General features: G+C 44.4%; 1 protein-coding gene across 56 annotated transcripts in view, besides 2 other annotated features; it reads right to left on the bottom strand.

Moving 5' to 3' along the window:
* RGS6 (regulator of G protein signaling 6) overlaps positions 1–21,479 on the bottom strand; it is a 762,695-nt gene that overhangs the window by 140,365 nt on the left and 600,851 nt on the right. For 53 of the 56 annotated variants that reach the window (NR_135235.2, XM_024449761.2, NM_001370270.1 and 50 more), the window contains 5 exons: positions 19,582–19,658; positions 16,712–16,793; positions 14,966–15,040; positions 12,825–12,923; positions 11,336–11,397 (listed from right to left, as the gene is read on the bottom strand). Coding sequence is in view for 55 of the 56 variants with exons in the window: in XM_024449761.2 (XP_024305529.1) it covers positions 11,336–11,397; positions 12,825–12,923; positions 14,966–15,040; positions 16,712–16,793; positions 19,582–19,658 (395 nt within the window). In the remaining variant the exon portion in view is untranslated. Of the gene's footprint in view, positions 1–11,335; positions 11,398–12,824; positions 12,924–14,965; positions 15,041–15,584; positions 15,709–16,711; positions 16,794–19,581; positions 19,659–21,479 lie in introns of those variants that run through there. The other 3 variants (NM_001370279.1, NM_001370286.1, XM_047431988.1) reach the window with 3 other exon arrangements.
* Positions 8,452–8,501: an enhancer, noted in NCBI's record as "active region_8682". NCBI's record gives its function as "activates an Ori minimal core promoter by ATAC-STARR-seq in GM12878 lymphoblastoid cells {active_cell/tissue: GM12878}" and the evidence as "EXISTENCE:reporter gene assay evidence [ECO:0000049][PMID:35858748]".
* Positions 12,658–12,867: an enhancer, noted in NCBI's record as "active region_8681". NCBI's record gives its function as "activates an Ori minimal core promoter by ATAC-STARR-seq in GM12878 lymphoblastoid cells {active_cell/tissue: GM12878}" and the evidence as "EXISTENCE:reporter gene assay evidence [ECO:0000049][PMID:35858748]".

Raw genomic sequence — 21,479 nt, 5'->3', positions numbered from 1 at the left:
GGCTGCATCACTTTCATCTCTGTCTTTGTCTTCACATGGCTTTCTTCTGTGCCTGTGTCATCCGCTCTCTTTTTTGTCTTATGAGGACACTTGTCATTGGATTTGGAGTCTCTGGATAATCCATAATGATTTATGTAGATATCCTTAACTGAATTACATCTGCAAAGACTCTTCCCAAAGGAGGTCACATTCACAGGTTTCACAGGTAAGGCCTAGGACCTATCTTTTGGGGCTCCACTATTCAACCCACTACAGGGAATGTGAGAGAGCAAGCTGGATGTGGGGATACAGAGAGAACACTGGGCTACCTGTCTCCTTTGCTCAGATCAGCACAAAGACAAGCCAGCAGCAGAAAACCGAAATCCTGTTCAGGGGGTGACGAGTTGTACTGAGGTGCCCCAGAGGATCTGAGTCACGATGACATATTGGGGGGTTCTCCCAATTATGAGGCATTTCAGCATCCATGGCATTCTCAAAATCTGAGATGAGCAAACAGCCGGTGGGGGGGCCCCCTTTGTCCTCCCAGGACATCTGCCCTGGCCATTCCAATAATCTCAGCCTTAGTTAGCTTTGAATCTCAAATAAAAGACATCCACTTGGCAGCTCAAGGCAAAAGGTAGGACCTCTTTTAATTAATTACGTTATTGGGGAATTTTTTTTTAAGACCAGAAATAGATTTCCCTGAAGTAGAACATAGGGATTGAAAAATGAAATGTCCTCCCCTCCTCCCTCTTGCTTCCTTAGATTTCAATGAGACAGGCTGGGGTTTTTATCAGACCCCTCCCCAAATGTGTTCTAGCAGATCCTCGATGTGGTCACATCTCCAACCTGGGAAGTGGGGTCCAACCAGCCAGGTCAGGTCCTGTGGACAAGTCCCCATATGGAGCCCTGAGTGAGTGCTGGGCTGAGGGGACAATAGGGAAGGCTCAGGAGAGGCTGTGGTGAGAGTTCAGCCAGCACCTGGTCCCAAGAGGAGCCTGCAGGCTCCAGCTGCCTATTACTATATGCATGGCAATGAAGGCAGCTGTCCGCTGACCAGCCTAAGGCAGTAGAATCTTAAAAGTCCAGAGAGCAACTAAGGAAATGGGAAATAATATGATTATTTAAGCTGTAATGAAATACAGGCTCATAGCCAGATCTCTTTAAGAAAAATCCTGGAATATCATTAGAGAAGTGGGTGGAAGAGAGGTGGTGAGAGCTCATGGTGATGTTGGTTTAGGAGAATGTGGTTGAGAGCCCAAGGTGAGATTTTTGTGACCACCCAACATAAGAGCAAAAAATATGACTTTGCAACAGGCATTAAGCATGAATGAAATTGTTCCTGGGAGCTTGTGCCATGTCATGCCTTCTCTAAAAAAGGTCTAGGCAAGAGGCGTCAAGACATGCTATAGAGGAACACGTGGAGAAGGAACACAGAAAGTCCTGACAACCTGAACCAGGCAACAAAGCCAAAGTCATTACGAGCAACTAATCTGCTGGCCAGTGTCAGAGATGAGTGGTACTGGTCGGAAGGGAAATTTATTGTATTAGAAGAGGGAAATCTATTTTGTTAAGTTACATAAATAAAGTCAGAGGCTTTGTAAAGGAAACAGTAAAATTAGATGGGCATACATATTTTGAATGTTGTATTTTATTGATGGGAAAAGGAAGTATTGAATCATCAGAATGAGACATACACGTATTGGGGCTATAAGAGGCACTCCTAGTCAGCGGGGTGCTCGGAGATGCTGGTATATTAAAGACAAAGAGGATGAACAATTTGGCCTTCAGATTCTATGAGAAGGGGAGAGACTGGGGTTTTATATTTGTTTCTAAGGGCTGCTGGAACAGATTATCTCATATTTAGCAGCTGAAAACAATACAAATGTATTGTCTTATAATTCTAAGAGTCAGAAGTCTGAAATGGGTCTCACTGAGCTAAAATCAAGGTGTCAGCAGGGCGATGTTCCTTCTGGAGGCTCTAGGGAAGAATTCATTTGCTTGCCTTTTTCCAGCTTCTAGAGGCTCCCTGCATTCCTTGGCTCGTGGCCCCCTTCCATCTGCAAAGCCAGCTATGGTTTTCTCATGCTGCATCACTCTGACACCGACTCTTCTGCCTCTCTCTTCCACATTTCCGGGAACCTGTGATTATGCTGGGCCCATCTGGGCAATCCAGGATAATCTCTCTATTTTAAGGTGAACTGATTAGCAACCTTAAGTCCACCTGCAACCTGAATTCTCCTTGCCATGTAACATAACCTATTCACAGGTTCTGGGGATTAGAACATGGACATCTTTGAGAGATCATTATTCTGCCTACCACAGGTGTAGTTTGACTGCAATTTATGTGAAAAAATAAATGTATTATTATGTATTTCTTACTATATTTATCTATGTAGAAAATAAAGTCACCTGGAGGAGAGTGTGGCAGTAGATAAAAGGTGCATAATGGCACCGCCATGTTTTATTTTGCTGCCACTATCACAACCCACGCAAATAAACCCAGTGTTCATGAATCTATGCACCCTCATTTGTCCTATTTGCCATCATCATTGCATGGAAAAGACAGGAGACAGCAAAGTGCATCTTGGAGTTTCCCATGGGTGACCTGGGCATTTAGCAGTCTGCTGCCTCAACTGCTCTCCCAGCTTCTTGGTGGGAGGGGAGGGTGATCCTTCCCAGAGAGAGTAGCAGAGAGGGTTAACTTCACAGCTGGGGTAGCCAAAGACTGAGAGGAGGTGAAAGAACACCCCACGCTGGGCAGAGAGGGAAGGCGATCTCCTCTTCCCTTATGCTTCTCAACATCATCAGACTGTGCAGAAACAGCACAAGAAATGAAAGCAAGGACTCCTTACCCTTTCCTTGCTCTCCTGTCTCTTTAGTCTGGGCTGGAGGTGCCTTATGCCTGGTAGCTAGAGCTTCCAAGGTGGGACACAGGAAAGAAATGAAGGTTGGCCACATAGGATAAGATCTAAGCTTAATGCAGAGAGTTAAAAGGCTTTTGGGTTTGTGCCTAGGCTGTCCAGCACCATTTCTTAGGCATGAAAGGAGATCCAAATGGAGATAGAAGTGCTGCCTAGGAATACAGTGAATGTACAAGGGTTGACCCTTATGCTGGGTCTCTTGGGAATCTGAGTGAAGCAGATAGGGATTCTGGATGGTGAGTACTCCAAAATGGGTGAGCAGGCATAGAGGGCCTCTATGGGTTTCTGCTCACTTCTGCTTGTCTCCTGAGAATTGTACTCTGACATGTACACAAGGCTACTTCAGGAGCTGCCATGTATTTATTTATAAGCCCTGCTCCTGGCCATGGTTGATTTGTCCAGGAACAGATACCTGACGCAAGTGAGGTTCATATCTTCTTTCCCCAGCTTCAGCAGTAGAAGCTTGTATTAGTCCATTCTCCTGCTGCTATGAGGAAATACCCAAGACTGGCTAATTTATAAAGGAAAGAGGTTTAATTGACTCATGGTTCAGCATGGCTGGGGAGGCCTAGGAAACTTACAATCATGGGGGAAGGGGAAGCAAACATGTCCTTCTTCACATGGTGACAGGAAGGAGAATGAGAACTGAATGAAGGGGGGAAGCCCTTTATAAAGCCATCAGGTCTCATGAGAACTTACTATCATGAGCATAGCATGGGGGAAAACACCAGCATGATTCAATTACCTCCCACTGGGTCCCTCCCATCACGTGTGGGGATTATGGGAACTACAATTCAAGATGAGATTTGGGTGGGGATACAGCCAAACCATATCAAAGTTGTATAGTCACAAAGTTCAAGGGCTGGTGGTGTCATGTTTCCTAACACATGTCTGTCATGAAAGAGAATAAGGTCAGCATGGAAAGTGGGCAGGACCAGAGAGGAAGAATGGGTCTTGGAGGCACTGAAGGCCCTGGCTCCAGCTTTTCCTGAGCTCAGTAGCATTGCTGCCTTTCCCAGGGTTCAATTCCACAGCCCCTTCTTGTATTCTGGGAGCCAAGGCATGCTTCTATTTTGCAGAACCAGGTTCAAGCTGGGGTTTTATTGCTTGGAATCAAACCAATACAGTTGAAAAGGGAATGAAGGTGATGGGAGTGTGAAGGCAAGTTCATCAAGGCAGCCCTTTGTAGAACTAGCCAGAGAGGTTGTCTCTTTCAGAACATGTGCTTCCTGGTAGTGTACAGATTACAAGATGAACAGAGTCTGCTTGGGACACACAAGACAATGAGAAGGCCAGGCAGGCCAATGAAGGAGGCAGCAATGGCCAACGCACAGTACCATTTCAGTCCAAAGTCAATACCAATGACCACAGAAAGACTAGAGGTAGGAGAGGAGAAGCAAAAAGGGAGAAGAAAATAGAGGTATGTAAAGAGCTTTGTAGGATGTCCAGCATATAACAGTACACAGCAGCAATGGTCCTCCAACCGCTGGGTGTGAGTGGCAGAAAAGCAGAATTGGGATGAGATGGAAGAAATAAAATAAATATAGGAAATTCAGAAGTCCATTAGGAACAATATTTCTCAATGAGCAATTTTAGCATTCTTGTCCCTTTATCCCTGACTCCTGATTGGTATATGCTTTTGTTATTTTCAAATGACAAATTCTCACATCACTAGAAGATGCTGATCTGTGAACCTTTAGCAAATGTGCTACCCACCATTGTCGTGGGCTTTGAACTGGGTCTTGAGTGGAAATGTGGAACTGGCTATTTGTTCACATACTCCTGCCCCATGAACCTTTAGTAATGGCAAAAAAAAAAAAAAAAAAAAAATCTACCAGATGGCTACCAGGGGTACACTCTGTGGTCAGTCATTTAGTAGCCATTATTCAGAGCCTACTATGCCATTAAATAGCAAACAGCTCTCTGGATCTCAGAGAGTTGTTAGAGCTGAGCTAACAGCAAAGTCACAGCTTCTAACAATAGTAACCAATCCTGGTAGGAGGACAGTTATTAATGCAAAACCTTCCCAATTTAGATTGCTAATTAGGGTCTACCTTTGATAAACATGGAGGGGAAGGAAATAATGAAAGAGAATTTAGTAAACATACAGTCCAACCACTTGAGAAAATATGACAAAAATAAAAGTTGTAGATTTTATCCTTTCTCTCTTAACAAAAGACTTATAATTTTGCTACAAATTGTATAGATGTGACCGCCCCCCACCAAAAAAAAACCACACAAAACTATGACAAGTTGGAGGAAGAAGAAATGCTGTCCATCCTGAGTTAAGCAATGCCTAGGAGGAATCCCTAGAGCTAAGGACACATATATGGAGCAGGTGGGGAGAAGATGAAGAGATACTGACATGGCTAGGCTCCAGGAAAAAGGGACAGTGAAGTATGGCCTGCAGCTATGGGAAACTACTATCCAGGAAAACAAACAAACAAACAAACAAAATCCAACAAAAACGAGGCCTGGAATCTAAAGCATTATGGGATACGACCATTAGTCCTACTTTAGAAATACAGTACAAATGCACTAAAGCATTCATTATGAAATCAGAGCCTCTACATGAGAAGACCTGGAATTGGAATATTAAAGGGGGTGAAGAGGAGAGCATGCTGGCACGCCTCGCTCTGCTACATGCAGTTTCTGAACTGTGATGCACAACAGAGAACCAGGACAGGAAGGATCTGATTAGAAAGGAAAATGAGAAGCAGAGCAGCACTGCGGAGAGGAAAGAAGAAAGTTTGATTCCTAGCAATTAATTAATTAATCTAGCTTTTTTTTTTTCACTTGGAGAAGGTGGGAAGTAGGGAAAATATAAAAAGAGAACTCCTTAATTGCAAGTCACCCAGAGAAAACACATTCAATAGAGAAACTTGGGATGAGTGAAGGAGCATGAAGGTGAATTCAGCCCTGCAGGAAGAAGAGCTTACACCAGGCCAGGTATGGAGGCCCCTTCTTTTCCACATGCTACAGATTCCATATCTTGGTCTAGATACAGTCACCCTGGCTGTAATGATACCTCCGGTCTTTTTTTTTTTCTGTCACCTAGAACAGGCTAGGAGAAAGGAGGAGCAAAGACCCCATGGTTTCTGAAATCCCATAAAAGCAAAGTTGTAATGACTTCTGTGACCCTCTTTTTTCCTCCCCTGAAACTATAATTAGACATTAAGTTCCCAAACCTCTATCACCCTAGCAGGTTTTTAATAGACCCTTAGGGGTATCCAGTCCCTTGCTGTCTTATCTCATTTCATTAATTACATTTCATGATCACTGAGGGTCAGGAGGTGGAGGAAGAACCAGCATCCAATTTCAGGGAGCAGCGGCAATCTCAGATACAGGCAAGTGAGATGATGCTAAAAAAAATCAATTCAGCAGTCAGCTGTGACACACGAATGGCTCCCAGTAATAGGGTGAGGATGAGCCAAGTACAGATGCAGGTACGGAATGAAACATTTTGATCCCTCTGTGTGCAGCAGTGCACTGGGATAGCTGCAGTGATTGTGGTGTAAGCTCGCTATGGGTCGGGAGAAGTCTCTGGGGAATCGCAGCCAAACATGGAGACTAGACAGTTTGGGACTAAAATGCATGGAGTGTTGCTTCTCAAAGTTGGTTTGTCAAGTGCTATAAGGCTTAGATGAATAAAAAAAGGGACTCCCTTGGGGACGCTTGCAGAGAAGAGTAGGACCTTGTTTATCTGGCAACTTCAAGTATCCAGAGAACACAAATGAGATAAGTGAGCATAAGAGCCTCTGCATAGTCTACAGATGAAATAAACACCATGCCTCAAGGTTCATTGTTATCGGGAACAACACACCTCACAAAAAAGACTTTTCACACTTGCTTTAGGATCAAAGCTAATCAATTTGGTTATTTGATTTCCTGGTGTGGTAGTTCAGTTTCAAAAAAGGAGTCTATTTCTTCTGCCCTTGAATCTAGTCCAGCTTAGTGACTTGTTTTAGCCAATAAAAGGTAACAGAAGCGACAGAATGCCAGTTCTAATCTGCAAGAGTTTTGCATGCTTCTGTTCTCTCTCTTGGAATCCCACTATCCCCATGTGGAAAAGGTCAAACTAGTCTGCTGGAGGGTGAGAGACCATATTAAGGAGTGCTCAACTGTCCCAGCTGAGGCCATCCTAAACCAGCAGAAGCCAAACATGTGAGAGAGCCCAGCCAAGATCAGCAGAGCTGCCTCGCCAACCCATAGCCACATAGAGAAACATGGCTGAGACCAGTGGAGCCAGGTGGCACATAGACATGTGAGCAATAGTAAAAGCCTATTTTTTAAGCCACTGAGTTTTGGGGTGTTTTGTTACTCAGTGACAGCTAACTGATACACATGGTATGCTACAGATTGGAAAGCAGGGGTTGGGTGTTGGGGGGAAGGGTTAGTAGAGAAAGCAGACAGACAGACAACTAAAAGGCAGAAACAGGAATTCAAAGAATATTATTATCTGGGGCCATTTAGGGAAGGGGAAGCAGGGCACCTTATAAGATCCTGACCACTGACAGTTTTAAAGCATAATAGAAGACTACTGACTCTTGAGTCATCTAGCAAAATTAACTGAAATGTAGTGTCCTTTTATTAGGAAGTAAAGTGGATGAACCATATTTAAGAAACACTGCCATTAAAAAATAGTTAAAATAGGCCGGGAGCGGTGGCTCATGCCTGTAATCCCAGCACTTTGGGAGGCCGAGGCGGGCGGATCACGACGTCAGGAGATCGAGACCATCCTGACTAACATGGTGAAACCATGTCTCTACTAAAAAATACAAAAAAATTAGCCAGGCTTGGTGGCAGGTGCCTGTAATCCCAGCTACTGAGGAGGCTGAGGCAGGAGAATGGTGTGAACCCGGGAGGCGGAGCTTGCAGTGAGCCGAGATTGCACCACTGCACTCCAGCCTGGGCAACAAAGCAAGACTCCGTCTCAAAAAAAAAAAAAAAAAAAAAGTTAAAATAAAAAGCTTAGGGTGTTAAGTGTCATTTATCTGAGACACTCATGTGTGTGTGTGCAGAGACAATACATTCTGCAACAAAAATTGGGTAACAGCTCAGAAAGCCTTTTGTGTTGCTTCCAGGTGCAAAAGGCAGCCTAGGAAATGCAGTTTGGTTGCCACGATGCTGGCATTTTGGGGACACTTAAGCACTCAGGAAGACAATGGACAGAATATTTGGAACTGGGATGATCTGAGAAATTCTGTGCAGAAGAGCAAGTCTTTTCTCCCGCAAAGCCCCAGATTAGTGATGGCGTGTGAGGCAGTGGAAGGAGACATGCAGTGCAAGGTCAGCCTTGGGCAGCCTGCAGAGATCTCTGTGTGGGAGACTGGGGGGAGACAGAGGGTGCAGGAAAGAATTGCATTAGCAGCCTCCCTCCTTGGCCTGCCCTTTGTTTGCTCCTTTAAGCACCATATATCCAGTTCATTCTGTCTCATGGCCTTGAATTCTGCTCTCTTCCAAAGCACAAGTTAAGTGTCATGCTGGAAAATAATTATTATTCACATTCCCAGTGTGCAGACTGAGTCCCAAGGACTGGACCATACTTTTGCCATGCATGAACTCATTAATCCTATAATTTAAATACAACTACTATCTCCCCTCTAAAGAGGTAAAAACAGGCACCGAGAGAAGAAGCCACTGGCTTCATCAGTTAGAAAACAGGAAATGGCAGGGGTAGGTTTCAAACCTCGATGGTCGGTTTCAGACCCATCCCCTAAACTGTCTGTTCTGCCCCTTTAGTTTGCAAAGTTCCCTTTTTCCCTCCCTGCTGGTCTGGATGCACCCTTTAGTCCAACCCTGACTGTAGACATCCCAGAGCCCAGCCTCGCTGTCCCCAGCCCTCCTGCCTCTCCTCACTATTAGTTCTCACAGAACTGGGTGAAAAATGATGAAGACCTTTCCTGGGGGATGCGGTTTCCTGGGGGATATGGAATTGCCACTTATCACCTGGAGCAGGCCCAGGGAAGCCAGATCAGGATGGGGATGTGGATGTGGATGTGCGTGCCCACCTGAGAGAGCTCAGCCTGCATCTCTGGCAGCTTCTCACCAGCTGCCAGCACCTCCTCCCTGGCCCCATCTTCACAGAGCCACTGACAGGCCCGGCTCCCAGCTGCTTTATCTCCAGCTAACACGCGTCTCCTTTCCCTCCTCCTCCTTATCTGGGGGTTTCCTTGTGGCTCTAATGAAAAACCCTCGTGTCGCATTGAAAAGTTGCCAGTTATTGCTGCTGGGAATAAAATCCAGCCTCTGCCGGGCAGAGACTCATGAAAGCTTCTAGCTGGGCACCGAGGAGTAGCCAGTTGGAATAATCCTTCAATATGAGCAGCCTCTCAAGCATAATTAGGTGGTACCAGGTGGGGCCCCTCCCTGACAGCAAGGAAACAAACAAACAATAGGATGGGCCGGGCTCCCCGCCTCCACCTTGGTTTCCTCCATTCCTTGGACTCTCTGCACACCTGCCCTGGAGTCTGCCTCCCTCATGCTGACAGGTTCAGGCTCTTTCTCTGCATCCCAAAGATATAACAAATTGGATGTGAGCTCTCAGGTCAGCCTGAGTAGCAGGCAATGGCTTCACCGGATCCTGAAAGACCAGATCAGTCCACTTGAAGATTATCCAGAATGTGGATTTCTTGGCTCAACCCTGGAACCACTGAATCTGAATCCCTAGGGCTGAGGCTTGGGAATTTCCATTTTTTAACCCCCTCCCTCACCTGGATTACGGTACTTAGAACCACTGGACCTGAGCAAATAGATCCAAAGAAACAGATGCTCCCATATATACGCTCTTTCTAAATTGCAAACCCTAAAGAGCTCTTCCACCTTCCAAGGCCAGACATGAGCATTGCTAGCACACCGACCCTCAAAGTATACTAGGACAGCCATTTCTGTCCCTAGTTCACAGAGAAAGAAGCTCGTGGTTCCTCACAGGCCATGGATGACACCAAGAGAGTTGAGGCCATGCTGCTGTTTCACTCACAGCCACCTTTCTGGGGCAAAGGAACCACAGTGAGACCTAAAAAGCATTTTCAGAGCCTGGTACTCTGGCCAGAAGCCACACATGATGAGAGAGGAGGTATGAGGTGATTCTGCAGCCTACACAGCTAGCTGAAACAGCGACTCCAGAGTGATCAGTACCTCAGTGTAAGCTGAGCTCCAGCCAGGGCAACTTTCCAGCACATTTGCATAGAAAAAGCAGGAGTGTCAGTCATTCTCAATGGGAGTGACTTTCACCCCACCCAGGGGACATTTGGCAATGTCTGGAGACATTTTTGGTTCTCACAGCTGTGGTGGTGGGGGACTACTGGCCTCTAATGGGGAGAGGTCAGGAATGCTGCTAACTATCCTATAATTCATAGGACATTAAGAACACAACAAGGAATTATCTGGCTCAGAATGTCACTAGTGCCACAATCGAGAAACCCTGGAATAAAGACGTGAGCCCAAGTCCAGGGATGTCCTTAGCCCCTGAAGGTAGGGTATTCAATCAGACTCTTTGTTTGGGGTTGGAGTTTTTATACCTTCCATTTGTTGTAATTTATCTAGAAAAAAGATGTGAATCAACCCAGGAGCCAGCAGAGAAAGGCTTACAGGCTTATAGATGGCTCTCACAGCCAGCCCCCTGTAGGAGCTGGGCTTAAAAGACTCAGTTTATCTGACATCCAATAAATACCAAGACCCAACTTAAGCTCTTGATTCCTTAAGCAATTGGTCATTGCTTTAACGGTAGCATATGGATGAATAAATGTTCACTACTGAGCTGCCTGGTTAGATTTATTCCATATAGATTCCCCATGTGGTCTCCCATCTTCACGGAAGAGTTAAAAAAACAGACCATTTAGTTGATAAAATTGAGTCTCCCATGAGTTAACGGAGTGGAACTAGCTACTGGTGCAGAATGAAGCACACACACCGCTGTGGAAGCCAGGCTGGAGGGGCCAAATATTTTCTTTACAGCTGATTCGATGCAGTTCAGTGGTTGATGGCGTGTGGAGGCGGAACACTTCCCGATGATCCAGTCCCCTCCTGTCTATGCAGCCAGCACCTCAAAGGACACACATAATTTCTTTTCCCCTATAAAGTGAATCTGGGCATTTTATAGCTGAAAGGGGAGCAATTTCCATTTGAATTAATCCAGAGGCTGAAGGCAAAGGTGCATTATGTAGCTTTAAAGGACATTCTTCCTTGATTGACAAGGTCCCGTGGCCACCCCCTGTAAAGCCTTAGCAACGGAACATTTCTTGACATCACTCAAGGGAGGTCTGTTATCTTAGTTATACTCACATGGAGCCTGTGGGTTTTTCTGCACCCCAGTCTAAGGAATAACTACAGTCTAACTCTTGGCATTGAACACATTCGTTAACCATAACCCTGTAACATTTCTTCCCTGTTAAATTAGAAGAAAGTAGTAATATTATTAAAGGAAAACATACCTTTCAGCCACTTTGGACATTTTCAAACAATGTCTGTCGATCTGTGCGTTCAAAAATGTTATCTGGGAAAATAGAGAACACAGATGTTAAGACCAAACTAAAATTATTTTTTTCCCCTCGCTCCACAAACCCAAATCCTGCATTTCCACCAAGATCCAAATACCTCCTCTGGCCAGACATCTCCAACTCCCTCAGCTCTGCCCTCCAGCAAATTACTTGTGCCTCTGGACATCCCTATCATACAAGATTCATATTCTGCAATTTAGCCTTTGTCTCATCTCCTCCTATACTGTGGTGTGATTTAAGTCTTGCTTTCCAAAATTTAAAGGCAATGTATTTTCTACGTAGCTTAGCAACAGCATGGACAGGTGAAATGTGCCCCATAAATACCTGTTTTGAACAATCCCCAGTGACCCCTCCTCTGCCCACCTTTCACAGGCACGTCACACCCATGTCCTTGGCATGCTTGACTGGAATCATCAAATAGCTTTTTTTCTGTGTGGTTTTTTTTTCTTTTTTTCTTTTTTTTTTTTGAGACAGAGTCTCATTCTGTTGCCTAGGCTGGAGTGCAGCGGCATGATCTCAGCTCACTGCAACCTCCACCTCTCAGATTCAAGTGATTCTGCTGTCTCAGCCTCCCGAGTAGCTGGGATTATAGTCACACGCCACCAAGCCCGGCTAACTTTTTTCTATTTTTAGTAGAGATGGGGTTTCATCATATTGGTCAGCCTGGTCTCAAACTCCTTACCTCAGATGATCCACCTGCCTCAGCCTCACAAAGTGCTGGGATTACAGGTGTGGGCCACCGAGCCCCGAGCCCCGCCAAATAGCTTTTTTTTTTCATATATCCATTACCTCTTACCCATCAGATAATAAACTTGTCAAGGGCAAGCACCTCAAAGTTTACTCCTTTGGGTTTTGCCCTCTAGGAACCAGCAAGGCATAATATAAACAGTAGGTTGCTTTGTTACCAGTAAATATCAGAAGGAAGTAATATAATTAGCCATTGTCTGTTGACCTGGGCTGCTCATCATGAAAGAAAATAACATTCAACCAAGTAATGCTGAAATGGCATTGGGAGTAGAGCTTTATTTATTCTTAAACTTTCCTTTCAAATCACAGCAATAAAGTAGACCATCCTGAGCTGGTGCATTCCAATTATAAGGACTGTGTGACATGAGCCCCCTCCTTCCTCCAGCTCCCACAGCGGACTGTGGGAAACCCCATTACAGCAGTTACCCCAAGGCATGGGATGACTCATTTACGCCCTTTTCTAGTAACTGCTGGAGGAACTGGGTAGAGAATTCTTTCTCTCAAGCTTCCGTGGCTTGTTCACACACAGCACTTAAAAGGTTCAATCACCCACAGCTGGGTTCCACTGTGGTTTCCAGGAACTCAAAGCTTGCTCAATCTTCAGAGTTGAACATTTGAAAGGGTTTTTAAACTGGCCACGTCTCCTCCTGAGAGTGCAAGCTGTCAATTCATTCACCTGTTTCCGGATGTCCTCTTTTGTTGTTTTCCTGATTGGTTGGCTGAGTACATGCACCGGGCTCTGTGCCTGGGACTCTTCAGTCACGCCATACACGGACTAGGAGAAGAAGCAAGCACAGAGGATCATCCACCCACAGAATTGGAGGGTGGCTTAGGGGTCAGCTAGTCCAATGACTCATCCAATTTCGTGAATCCCCTCATGACAATAAGAGATTGGTCTCTGCTTTTATTTCTTCAATGATGAGAATGCTGCCTCTTAAGGCATGTCATCTCATCTTTGGGGTACCACTATAACCCAAATCCTATCTTTTATTGGGCTGAAAATAGCCTCCTTGTATCTCAGTGTTTCTCCAAATATGGTCCATAGACCACCTGCAAAGAATCACCTGGGTGTGCTTGGAAAAGACACGTTGCTGAGTATCCCCTCGCCCCCTGGACTTACTGCATCAGAATCTTTGTGGGTGGGTTTGGAAATCTGCACTTTTATCAAATGCCCCAAATGATTCTGAATAAAGAAAGTTCAAGAGCCACTGCCAAAGAGTATGCACAAAAGATCCCCTCTACATTTCCGTTGGTCAGCAGATTCCCATCTGGTACAAAACTGGGATGGCAGCATTTCAGGGTTTCCCTTTCAAGTTAAACAGTTTTCTGGCCTAAGTTTTTCCACATGTCCGTAGCTATAGCTACATTTAAAGCTGTTCCTCGTATTACGGAAAGACTAAACACAATCTTTGCAATGGGAAAGAAATGAAACACTGAAGGGCATGCAATGTGTAGTCAAAATCATCAAAATGCAGAAGGGCTCAGATAAGGTGGATGTGACTCCATGAAATTCTGTAATGTTAGAATTATGGGGCTCTTGAAGATGAAATGAGGACATTTTAGGACTAACATTTTAAAATATAATACAGTGGATATTGTTAAGTCAGTGACGAACAAAATATGTAAGTAGATTAAAGAAGTTTATATACATACGCCATGTCTAGTGTGTGTGTGTGTGTGTGTGTGCGTGTATTTTTTTTTAATGCATACATGAGAGAGAGCTAATTGGTCATCACAAGAAATAGGAATGTTTGGGGACACATCTCCACTCTTTGGAATTTTTTTTTGAGATGGAGTCTCGCTCTTGTTGCCCAGGCTGGAGTACAATGGCGCGATCTCTGCTCACTGCAACCTCTGCCTCCTGGGTTCAAGCGATTCTCCTGCCTCAGCCTCCCAAGAAGCTGGGATTACAGGTATGCACCACTGTGCCCAGCTAATTGTGTATTTTTAGTAGAGACGGGGTTTCTCCATGTTGGTCAAGCTGGTCTTGAACTCCCGACCTCAGGTGATCCGCCCACCTCGGCCTCCCAAGTGTTGGGATTACAAGTGTGAGCCACCGTACCTGGCCCACTCTTTGGAAATTAATATTACGGAGTCTGGTCATGCTGTCCTGCAATATTGTCCCTGGTGCTGTGGAGAGGGTGGGACATATGAATCGTGGGGGAGTCTGAGCATGGCACCCTCGGGTATGCTGTGACCACTACTCCTTTGAGTAAAGTGAAACACAAGTGACCACTGGGTCATTCACAGTTGGACAAGATGGTGGTTTGAGTTTGGGTGATCCAGCTCTATCCAAAAAAAAAAAAAAAAAAAAAAACCATAAAAAAGACTTTTATTTGCTTCTAAGTATAAAGCTTGCTTTCACCTGTGAGCTTTGCCACTTCTTGCTCCTTTTGTTTCCTCCCCTCCCTGCCACCTCCCCAGGACAACTGCAACTTACCCTTCAGAACACCTGACCCTCTTTCAGGAAGCCCTTGGGAAGCCCCCCACCCCCACCCACTCCAGGTCTGGCTTAGCTGCCCCTCCTGGGCTCCTCAACTGTCCTGTACCTCTCCTAACACAGCATTCATGGCCCTGTTGCCTGTTGGCTTGTTTTACTCCTGCCAGGCTGTGGGCTCCATGAGGACCTGCCACTGTATCCTAGCACGAGCACAGCGCCAAGCATGCATCAGCTGCTCAATCAATATTTGTGAAATGGTTATGGTTTCAAATGACAAAAGGTGGTAGAATTACAAGTAGCAAATTACTATTTGAATAGTACTAGAACTGGAAGGGCTATTCACATCAGGAATTTTTAACTCAGCTAAACTAGCGAACCTTTTTAACCTTTTGTGGATTCTTCAAACGTCGACATTTTCGGATATCCATTTCTGTTGTGTTCACACAGCCTGGCTGAGAAAAAAAAAACACATCATATAAATTACTACGTGAAAATTACACTTCCAATTTAGCCCATGTCACACCATCAGGACCAATCTTTATCTTTTTCCATTACAGACAATGCATGATTTTTTTTTCCATTTTGCCATAATATGCATTCCTCTGTGGAGTTCCCATACGATCTAGAAAAGCTTACCTCATAATCTAAGGATGATATGTAGAGGGTATAGTGTACAGTTTCTAAGAGCAAATTAGCTATTTAAGTGGCAAGATTGCCTCAGACACAGTCCTTAAAATTTTTTTTTACATACTTAACCGTTTGAAAAAGACTCCACGATATCAGGATGAGTAGCTATTTATTTATTTTTTGCTTTTAATCAAATTTTAAGAAGACCAATAATTTATTTTTTAGTTCCATTTCATGAGGAAAATGCAAGATTTGTTTTAATAACGTGAAATCAGAAATACAGTCAAACCTCATTATTTACAAATTTTGCATTTGTGAATTTGCCTGCTTGCTAAATTTCATTTATAACTCCTTACTCAGTAGTTGTACCTTGAGTAGCCTGATATGTGTGTTTCCCACTGAAATTGAACAAGGTGACGTCCTGCCTTTTTGTTTCAGACCCTTCTATTTAGGGCTAATTTAGTGCCAACTTTTCTGCATTTCTGTACTTTTTGTTGGTGATTTTGCTGTTTAAAATGGCCCCAAGGACAGTGCTGAAGTGCTGTTCACCATTCTCTGATGTGCCTTAGGAGGAAATAAACATGCAGGCATGAGCAACAGTGCTGTTGGCCATGAGTTTAATGTTAATGAATCAATGATATATATTACATAAGCTGTCTTTATACAGAAACACATTTAAAAGGTTATGTATCGATCAGCTGATAAAAATGTTGTGGCCACAGGCTCACGGGGACCTAGCTTGGTAGTTCCCACGGGAGTGATGCTTCAATGTGCGCTAATTCAGTGTTTGCAAAGACTTTATAGAACATAACTGCCATGGATAACAAGAATTAACCGTATTCGACAGAGAATAGTTGAAGATTCAGAGTTGAATAGCAGTGGAAATGGAAATTGTTAATTTGGGGAATGTAAACCTTCGGGACACAAAGGTCTTTTGGTGGAATTCCCATAGCTTCTCCATTTGCAATTCCATATTTTCAGGAATGAATAATTTTTTTTTTCCCCAGAGATGGAGTCTCGCTCTGTTGCCGAGGCTGGAGTGCAGTGGTGCGCTCTCGGCTCACTGCAAGCTCCGCCTCCCGGGTTCACACCATTCTCCTGCCTCAGCCTCCCGAGTCGCTGGGACTACAGGTGCCTGCCACCACGCCCGGCTAATTTTTTTGTATTTTTAGTAGCGACGGGGTTTCACCGTGTTAGCCAGGATGGTCTTGATCGACTGACCTCGTGATCCACCCACCTCGGCCTCCCAAAGCGCTGGGATTACAGGCGTGAGCCGCCATGCCCGGCCGAATGAATAATTTTTAAAAGGTGGAACTTACATATATTCCAGAAAATTTACTGAGATTATATAAATGAATGGCGAAACCAGTTCCACAAAGCTGAGCGATTTTCTTAAGAATGAGACACCTGGTGGCTAAAGACGGTCTTTTCTTTATAGAGATAAAAATGAACAATTAAGAAAAAAAAATCTAGAGAATTGAGTAGCGCTTTCTCACCACAGGCCTGTGGACATCCCAAAAGGCTCGTTCTTGACTATCCAAAATTTTCCTTTCTGTCTTGTCTTTTTTCCGGTCAATCCTGAAAGAGTAAAGAGAGGAAGGAAATAAGAAGCTCTGTATTCTGTTTTCCCTTCTGACACTTGCTCCAGCGTTTGCTCCTGTTGCTAGGGGCTAAGTGAACACAAGGCCATTGGTACCTGCATGGTGCCTGCTCTCTGCAGAGCTGTGAAATAGGGGTGTATAATTCCCCCCCCGAAAACCTCAGGAATTCCACACATGGTAAGAGAACTTGTTTTAGGCTAGATTACAGATTGCCATACATGTGTAATGAACATGGTGGCCTAAGGGAAGAATAAGAATGCAGCTGTTCATCTGAAGTATTAAGATTTGGATTATTAAAAACTGAATTATCCATTGATATGCCCCCTTATCAAAAAGGATACTGCATATACAAATTATAAGATGGAATGTAACCACCATCTTGCCAGTGTTCCATGTTCAAATTTGAAAGTTTGCTTTAGATTTAGAATCAGTAGAAATAAATGTCTTTAAAATGCTGCAATTATGTGTTTTATAAGTCACTTACACCATCTGGCTTTCTAAAGGCAGAATAATGGCCCTAGAATGAGACAAGATCCAGGAGGCAAATATCACTGGCCTCAGCTGGGGGAGGCACAAATTGCAAGAGGGAAATTGCAGGTGACAAAGACAGATTCTTATTGTTCTGATCTGCAGCATAGATAAGAGGTTTTTTCTTTTTCTTTCTTTTTTTTTTTTTCTTAAAAAAGCATGTATTACTTCATTTTATTTCAAGTAAAAAGCAACTCAGATTAATTGCCGTGTAACTCCTAGGTCTCGGCTCTCTCGGGAACGCTTTACTTTACTGGACTGAAATAAACCCATAATCACCCTGCGATTTTTGTGATAATTACTGTGTACTTAGGTGGCCCACAATTATAATGTAATCACAGAGTTAATCAAAAAAGTTAATCGAGAAATACCATGTATTTATGAAGTAACAATTTCCCCTCTGTTTATAACTTGTGATGCTGTTTGATTCTGGAAGAACAAATTAGCGTTCCTCTTTGCTTTCCAGTGGCTTCTGAGTACACAGGCATAATTCTGCCTTAGTCCAGTTGAATCCCAGCCTCCATCCTACCTACTCTCCCACCTGCACCTCTTCGGGGGCACCCAGTGCCTGGTACCCGCCTATCCCCGGGGGGCTGCTGGGTGGTCAGGAGGTGGCTGGCATCATGGACAGGAGAAAGGCAGAGACTGTGGGGGGAGGTTCACAGCAATGGCAGTGTACAGGCCACTGGACCAGATGGCCTCAGGTCACTTCCAACTGTGACCATAGCTGTGATGAGTCTACACCCACACAGCCTGAGACCCGGCTCCAGGCCACGGGCTGCAACATCGCCCAGGAATGTTGCTCTGAAGACTCAGCGGCTGCTCACATGCAGGTGGTACCCAGAGGAAACATAGTCCCATTCTCCCAGCTTAGCATCCCTTTCCTGCTCCTGTCCCACTTCTCCTGTTAACTAACCATCCTGGCTAACCTAGACATCATCCCTGGGAGGGACAGGGGAGATCCAGATCCAATCATTCTGTTTCCCAGAATTAAATGGATCTGGTTGACAACGATGTTTGTGGGGTGGGGAACATAGAGTACCCATTCCTCATGTTTCCTTAGAGAGGAAGAAATGTCCACTATGTATCCAGGAGAAAAAAATCTGGGAAAAACCCTTCCAACTTTTTTCTTCCTTTCATCTCTTGTCCTTTGTGGAGGAAAAATGACTTAACTAATTGGTAGACTTGAAAGAAGAAATTGAAGAAGTTCAGACTCTCCCTCTCTGGGCCCCCATCTGGGTCAGCCTGTGCTCAGGATAGCTGCTCTCTGCATGCAGAAAACTTACAGGGGTCACCTATGCCCTGGTGGGGTGGGGTGGAGATGCTGGGGAGAGGAGGCCTATAGATACACACCTCTGTACAGGAAGGGCAGATTTAATTTTCACCTGGGGCCACATATCCAGTGTCACGCCCTATAATCTTGTTTTTTTTTTTTTTTTTTGAGAGGGAGTTTTGCTCTTGTTGCCCAGGCTGGAGTGCAATGTCACGATCTCAGCTCACTGCAACCTCCACTTCCCGGGTTCAAGCAATTCTCCTGCCTCAGCCTCCTGAGTAGCTGGGATTACAGGCATGTACCACTATGCCCAGCTAATTTTGTATTTTTAGTAGAGACGGGGTTTCACCATGTTAGTCAGGTTGGTCTCGAACTCCTGACCTCAGGTGATCCACCCCCACCTCGGTCTCACAAAGTGCTGGGATTACAGGCATGAGCCACCATGCCCAGCCTTACTCTTGCTTTTAATTAATGTAATAATCTGATATTTTGGACTCCAACTGTCTGACTTCTGTGCCTTCTTTTTCTGTTGGTTCTAAACTCCTCCCCTGTCAGGGAAAAGAAGACAGGGGCTACTTGTTGTTCTTCCTAAAACTCCAACCTGTTTTCCCATGAAGACAAAATCTCCAGTCCAACGGGTAAAATGGGATTTCAGCCTTTGAACACAGAAAATAACTGGAAATCTCTTGGGGAAATAGGTACACCTTCTTATAACCAGAGTTCTACCTTTGGGAGGATCTCCCTTGTCTGCTGAAACACACATTTCTGAAATTGCTTTAGAGAAGCATTGATTATGAAGACAAAACTTATCCATCCTGACTTTAATTTCTACTCAGTTGCTCTCAGGCCCTATTAGAAATACTAACGCCATCTGGAAACTTCACTTTGACAATCCCACCTTCACACCATTTCCAAATTCCAGAGTCTTTTCCTCTCTGAAAAGGTCTCTATCAAGTTCACCTACTTTACTTGTGCTTCTGCTTGCATAAAGATGAATTCCCACTTCCTCGCAAAGGCCCTCTGGAGTCTTGCTAAGTTTTCCTAATGAGAAATGAAAATCAACAAGGCGGCATTAATCATCGTAAATTAGCACATCGACACCTATGCTTATTATAAGGCATCCATCAATTTTGGTTACTTCCAACAAAATAGCAAGACCTGCTTTAAATCCCCTGGACATGTATCCCATTTGACTTTGCGCCAGACCCTCCGTACAGAGCTGAACTATTAATATTCATTTACACACCCATTAAGTCTGAAGTCTCTATGGTTCACCTGATTCCTCTCTTCATGAAGGTGTTTTACAAGAATGCAACTCACACAGCACTTGTTTCAAAGGTTGCTGAAAATCGGGAAAATTGTCTGTGGTTATTGGGGAATTAACGAGTCTTTGCCACCTGCTGGTATCTCCAGGAGCAAAACCAAAGGCTGGATTTCTCAGGACTCCTCTTCCAGTGGGGAGCTGGGAAGGACACAGGAAAGGAAAACCAAAGGGACCTGGCTTTCATGCTTTTTCTAATGTCAGGATTCAAAGTGGCCGAGGCTGAGTGTGGTGACTCACACCTGTAATCGCAGCATTTTGGAAGGCCAAGGCAGGTGGATCACCTGAGGTCAGGAGTTCCAGACCAGCCTGGTCAACAGGGTGAAACCCCATCTCTACTAAAATTACAGAAATTAGCTGGGCATGGTGGCAGGTGCCTGTAATCCCAACTATTTGGGAGACTGAGGGAGGAGAGTCGCTTGAACCCGGGAGGTGGGGAGGTTGCAGTGAGCCGAGATCCTGCCACTGCACTGCAGCCTGGGCAACAAGAATGAAACTGTTTCAAAAAAAAAAAAAAAAGTGCCCCAAACGGAGTGTCTACGTTTGTGATGTTCATGAAAGAAAAAGCCCAAAACAGAAAGAAAAGTCATTGAGGGCTGCCGTTAGAGAAAAAGAAAAGTATTTTCTCTAAGTCTGTAGAGTTACCTAATGGAACATGAGGATGGGCGGCGAGGAGGGGAGTTTGACAGGCGCCCTAATGATCCTCCTAATTCTGATGAATGCAAGGCCGGAGCCCATATTATGCTATGTATTTTCATAGAGCTCATGCCAACACGAATTGATTACCCTCATTAATGGATTATTAATATAAAAGGAGCTTCAGTTGGAGAGTACCACACATGAGCTCACAGTTATCACCCAGGCTTGGTGTGAAAGTACTTCTAAAAACTGTCTTTGTGACTCTTCCACTGCTCATAGGAAGCAAAACTGGTAATGCCTAAATGTCAATCAACTGTGACACAGTCATAGCATAGAATTCTAGGCAGCCATTAAACACAATAACGTAGATTATAGTTACTGACATGGTAAAGACCCCGAGATACCTACAGTATAATGACTGGGGAAAGAGAAGCAGCTGCCACAAGAATGTTTATGTTATGATTCTGATATAGTTTTGTAAAGAAAAAAATGTATGCATAGAAAAAACTTAGGTGAGGGGGAGTCACAGGTTATATTCTCTCCTTTCTTTGCTGTTTGAATTTTTGTTTTTGTAAAAAGAATATGTAATCAGAAAATTCATAAAAAAATTATTGCATTTTGGAAGCAAAATGCTTTTTTGGTTTTGAATCATTTTTGTGCAGAACTTCAACCTGAGAGCACATCTCAATGCCATATTCTTTTTTTTTTTTTTGAGACGGAGTCTCGCTCTGTTGCCCAGGCTGGAGTGCAGTGGCACGATCTTGGCTCACAACCTCCGCCTCCCAGGTTCAAGGGATTCTCCTGCCTCAGCCTCCTGAGTAGCTGGATCTACAGGCGTGTGCCACTAGGCCTGGCTAATTTTTTGTATTTTTAGTAGAGACGGGTTTCAGCATGTTAGCCAG

Source organism: Homo sapiens, chromosome 14 (assembly GCF_000001405.40).
Source record: "Homo sapiens chromosome 14, GRCh38.p14 Primary Assembly".
Taxonomy (NCBI): domain Eukaryota; kingdom Metazoa; phylum Chordata; class Mammalia; order Primates; family Hominidae; genus Homo; species Homo sapiens.
This window is presented reverse-complemented; position numbering and strand designations above follow the sequence as displayed.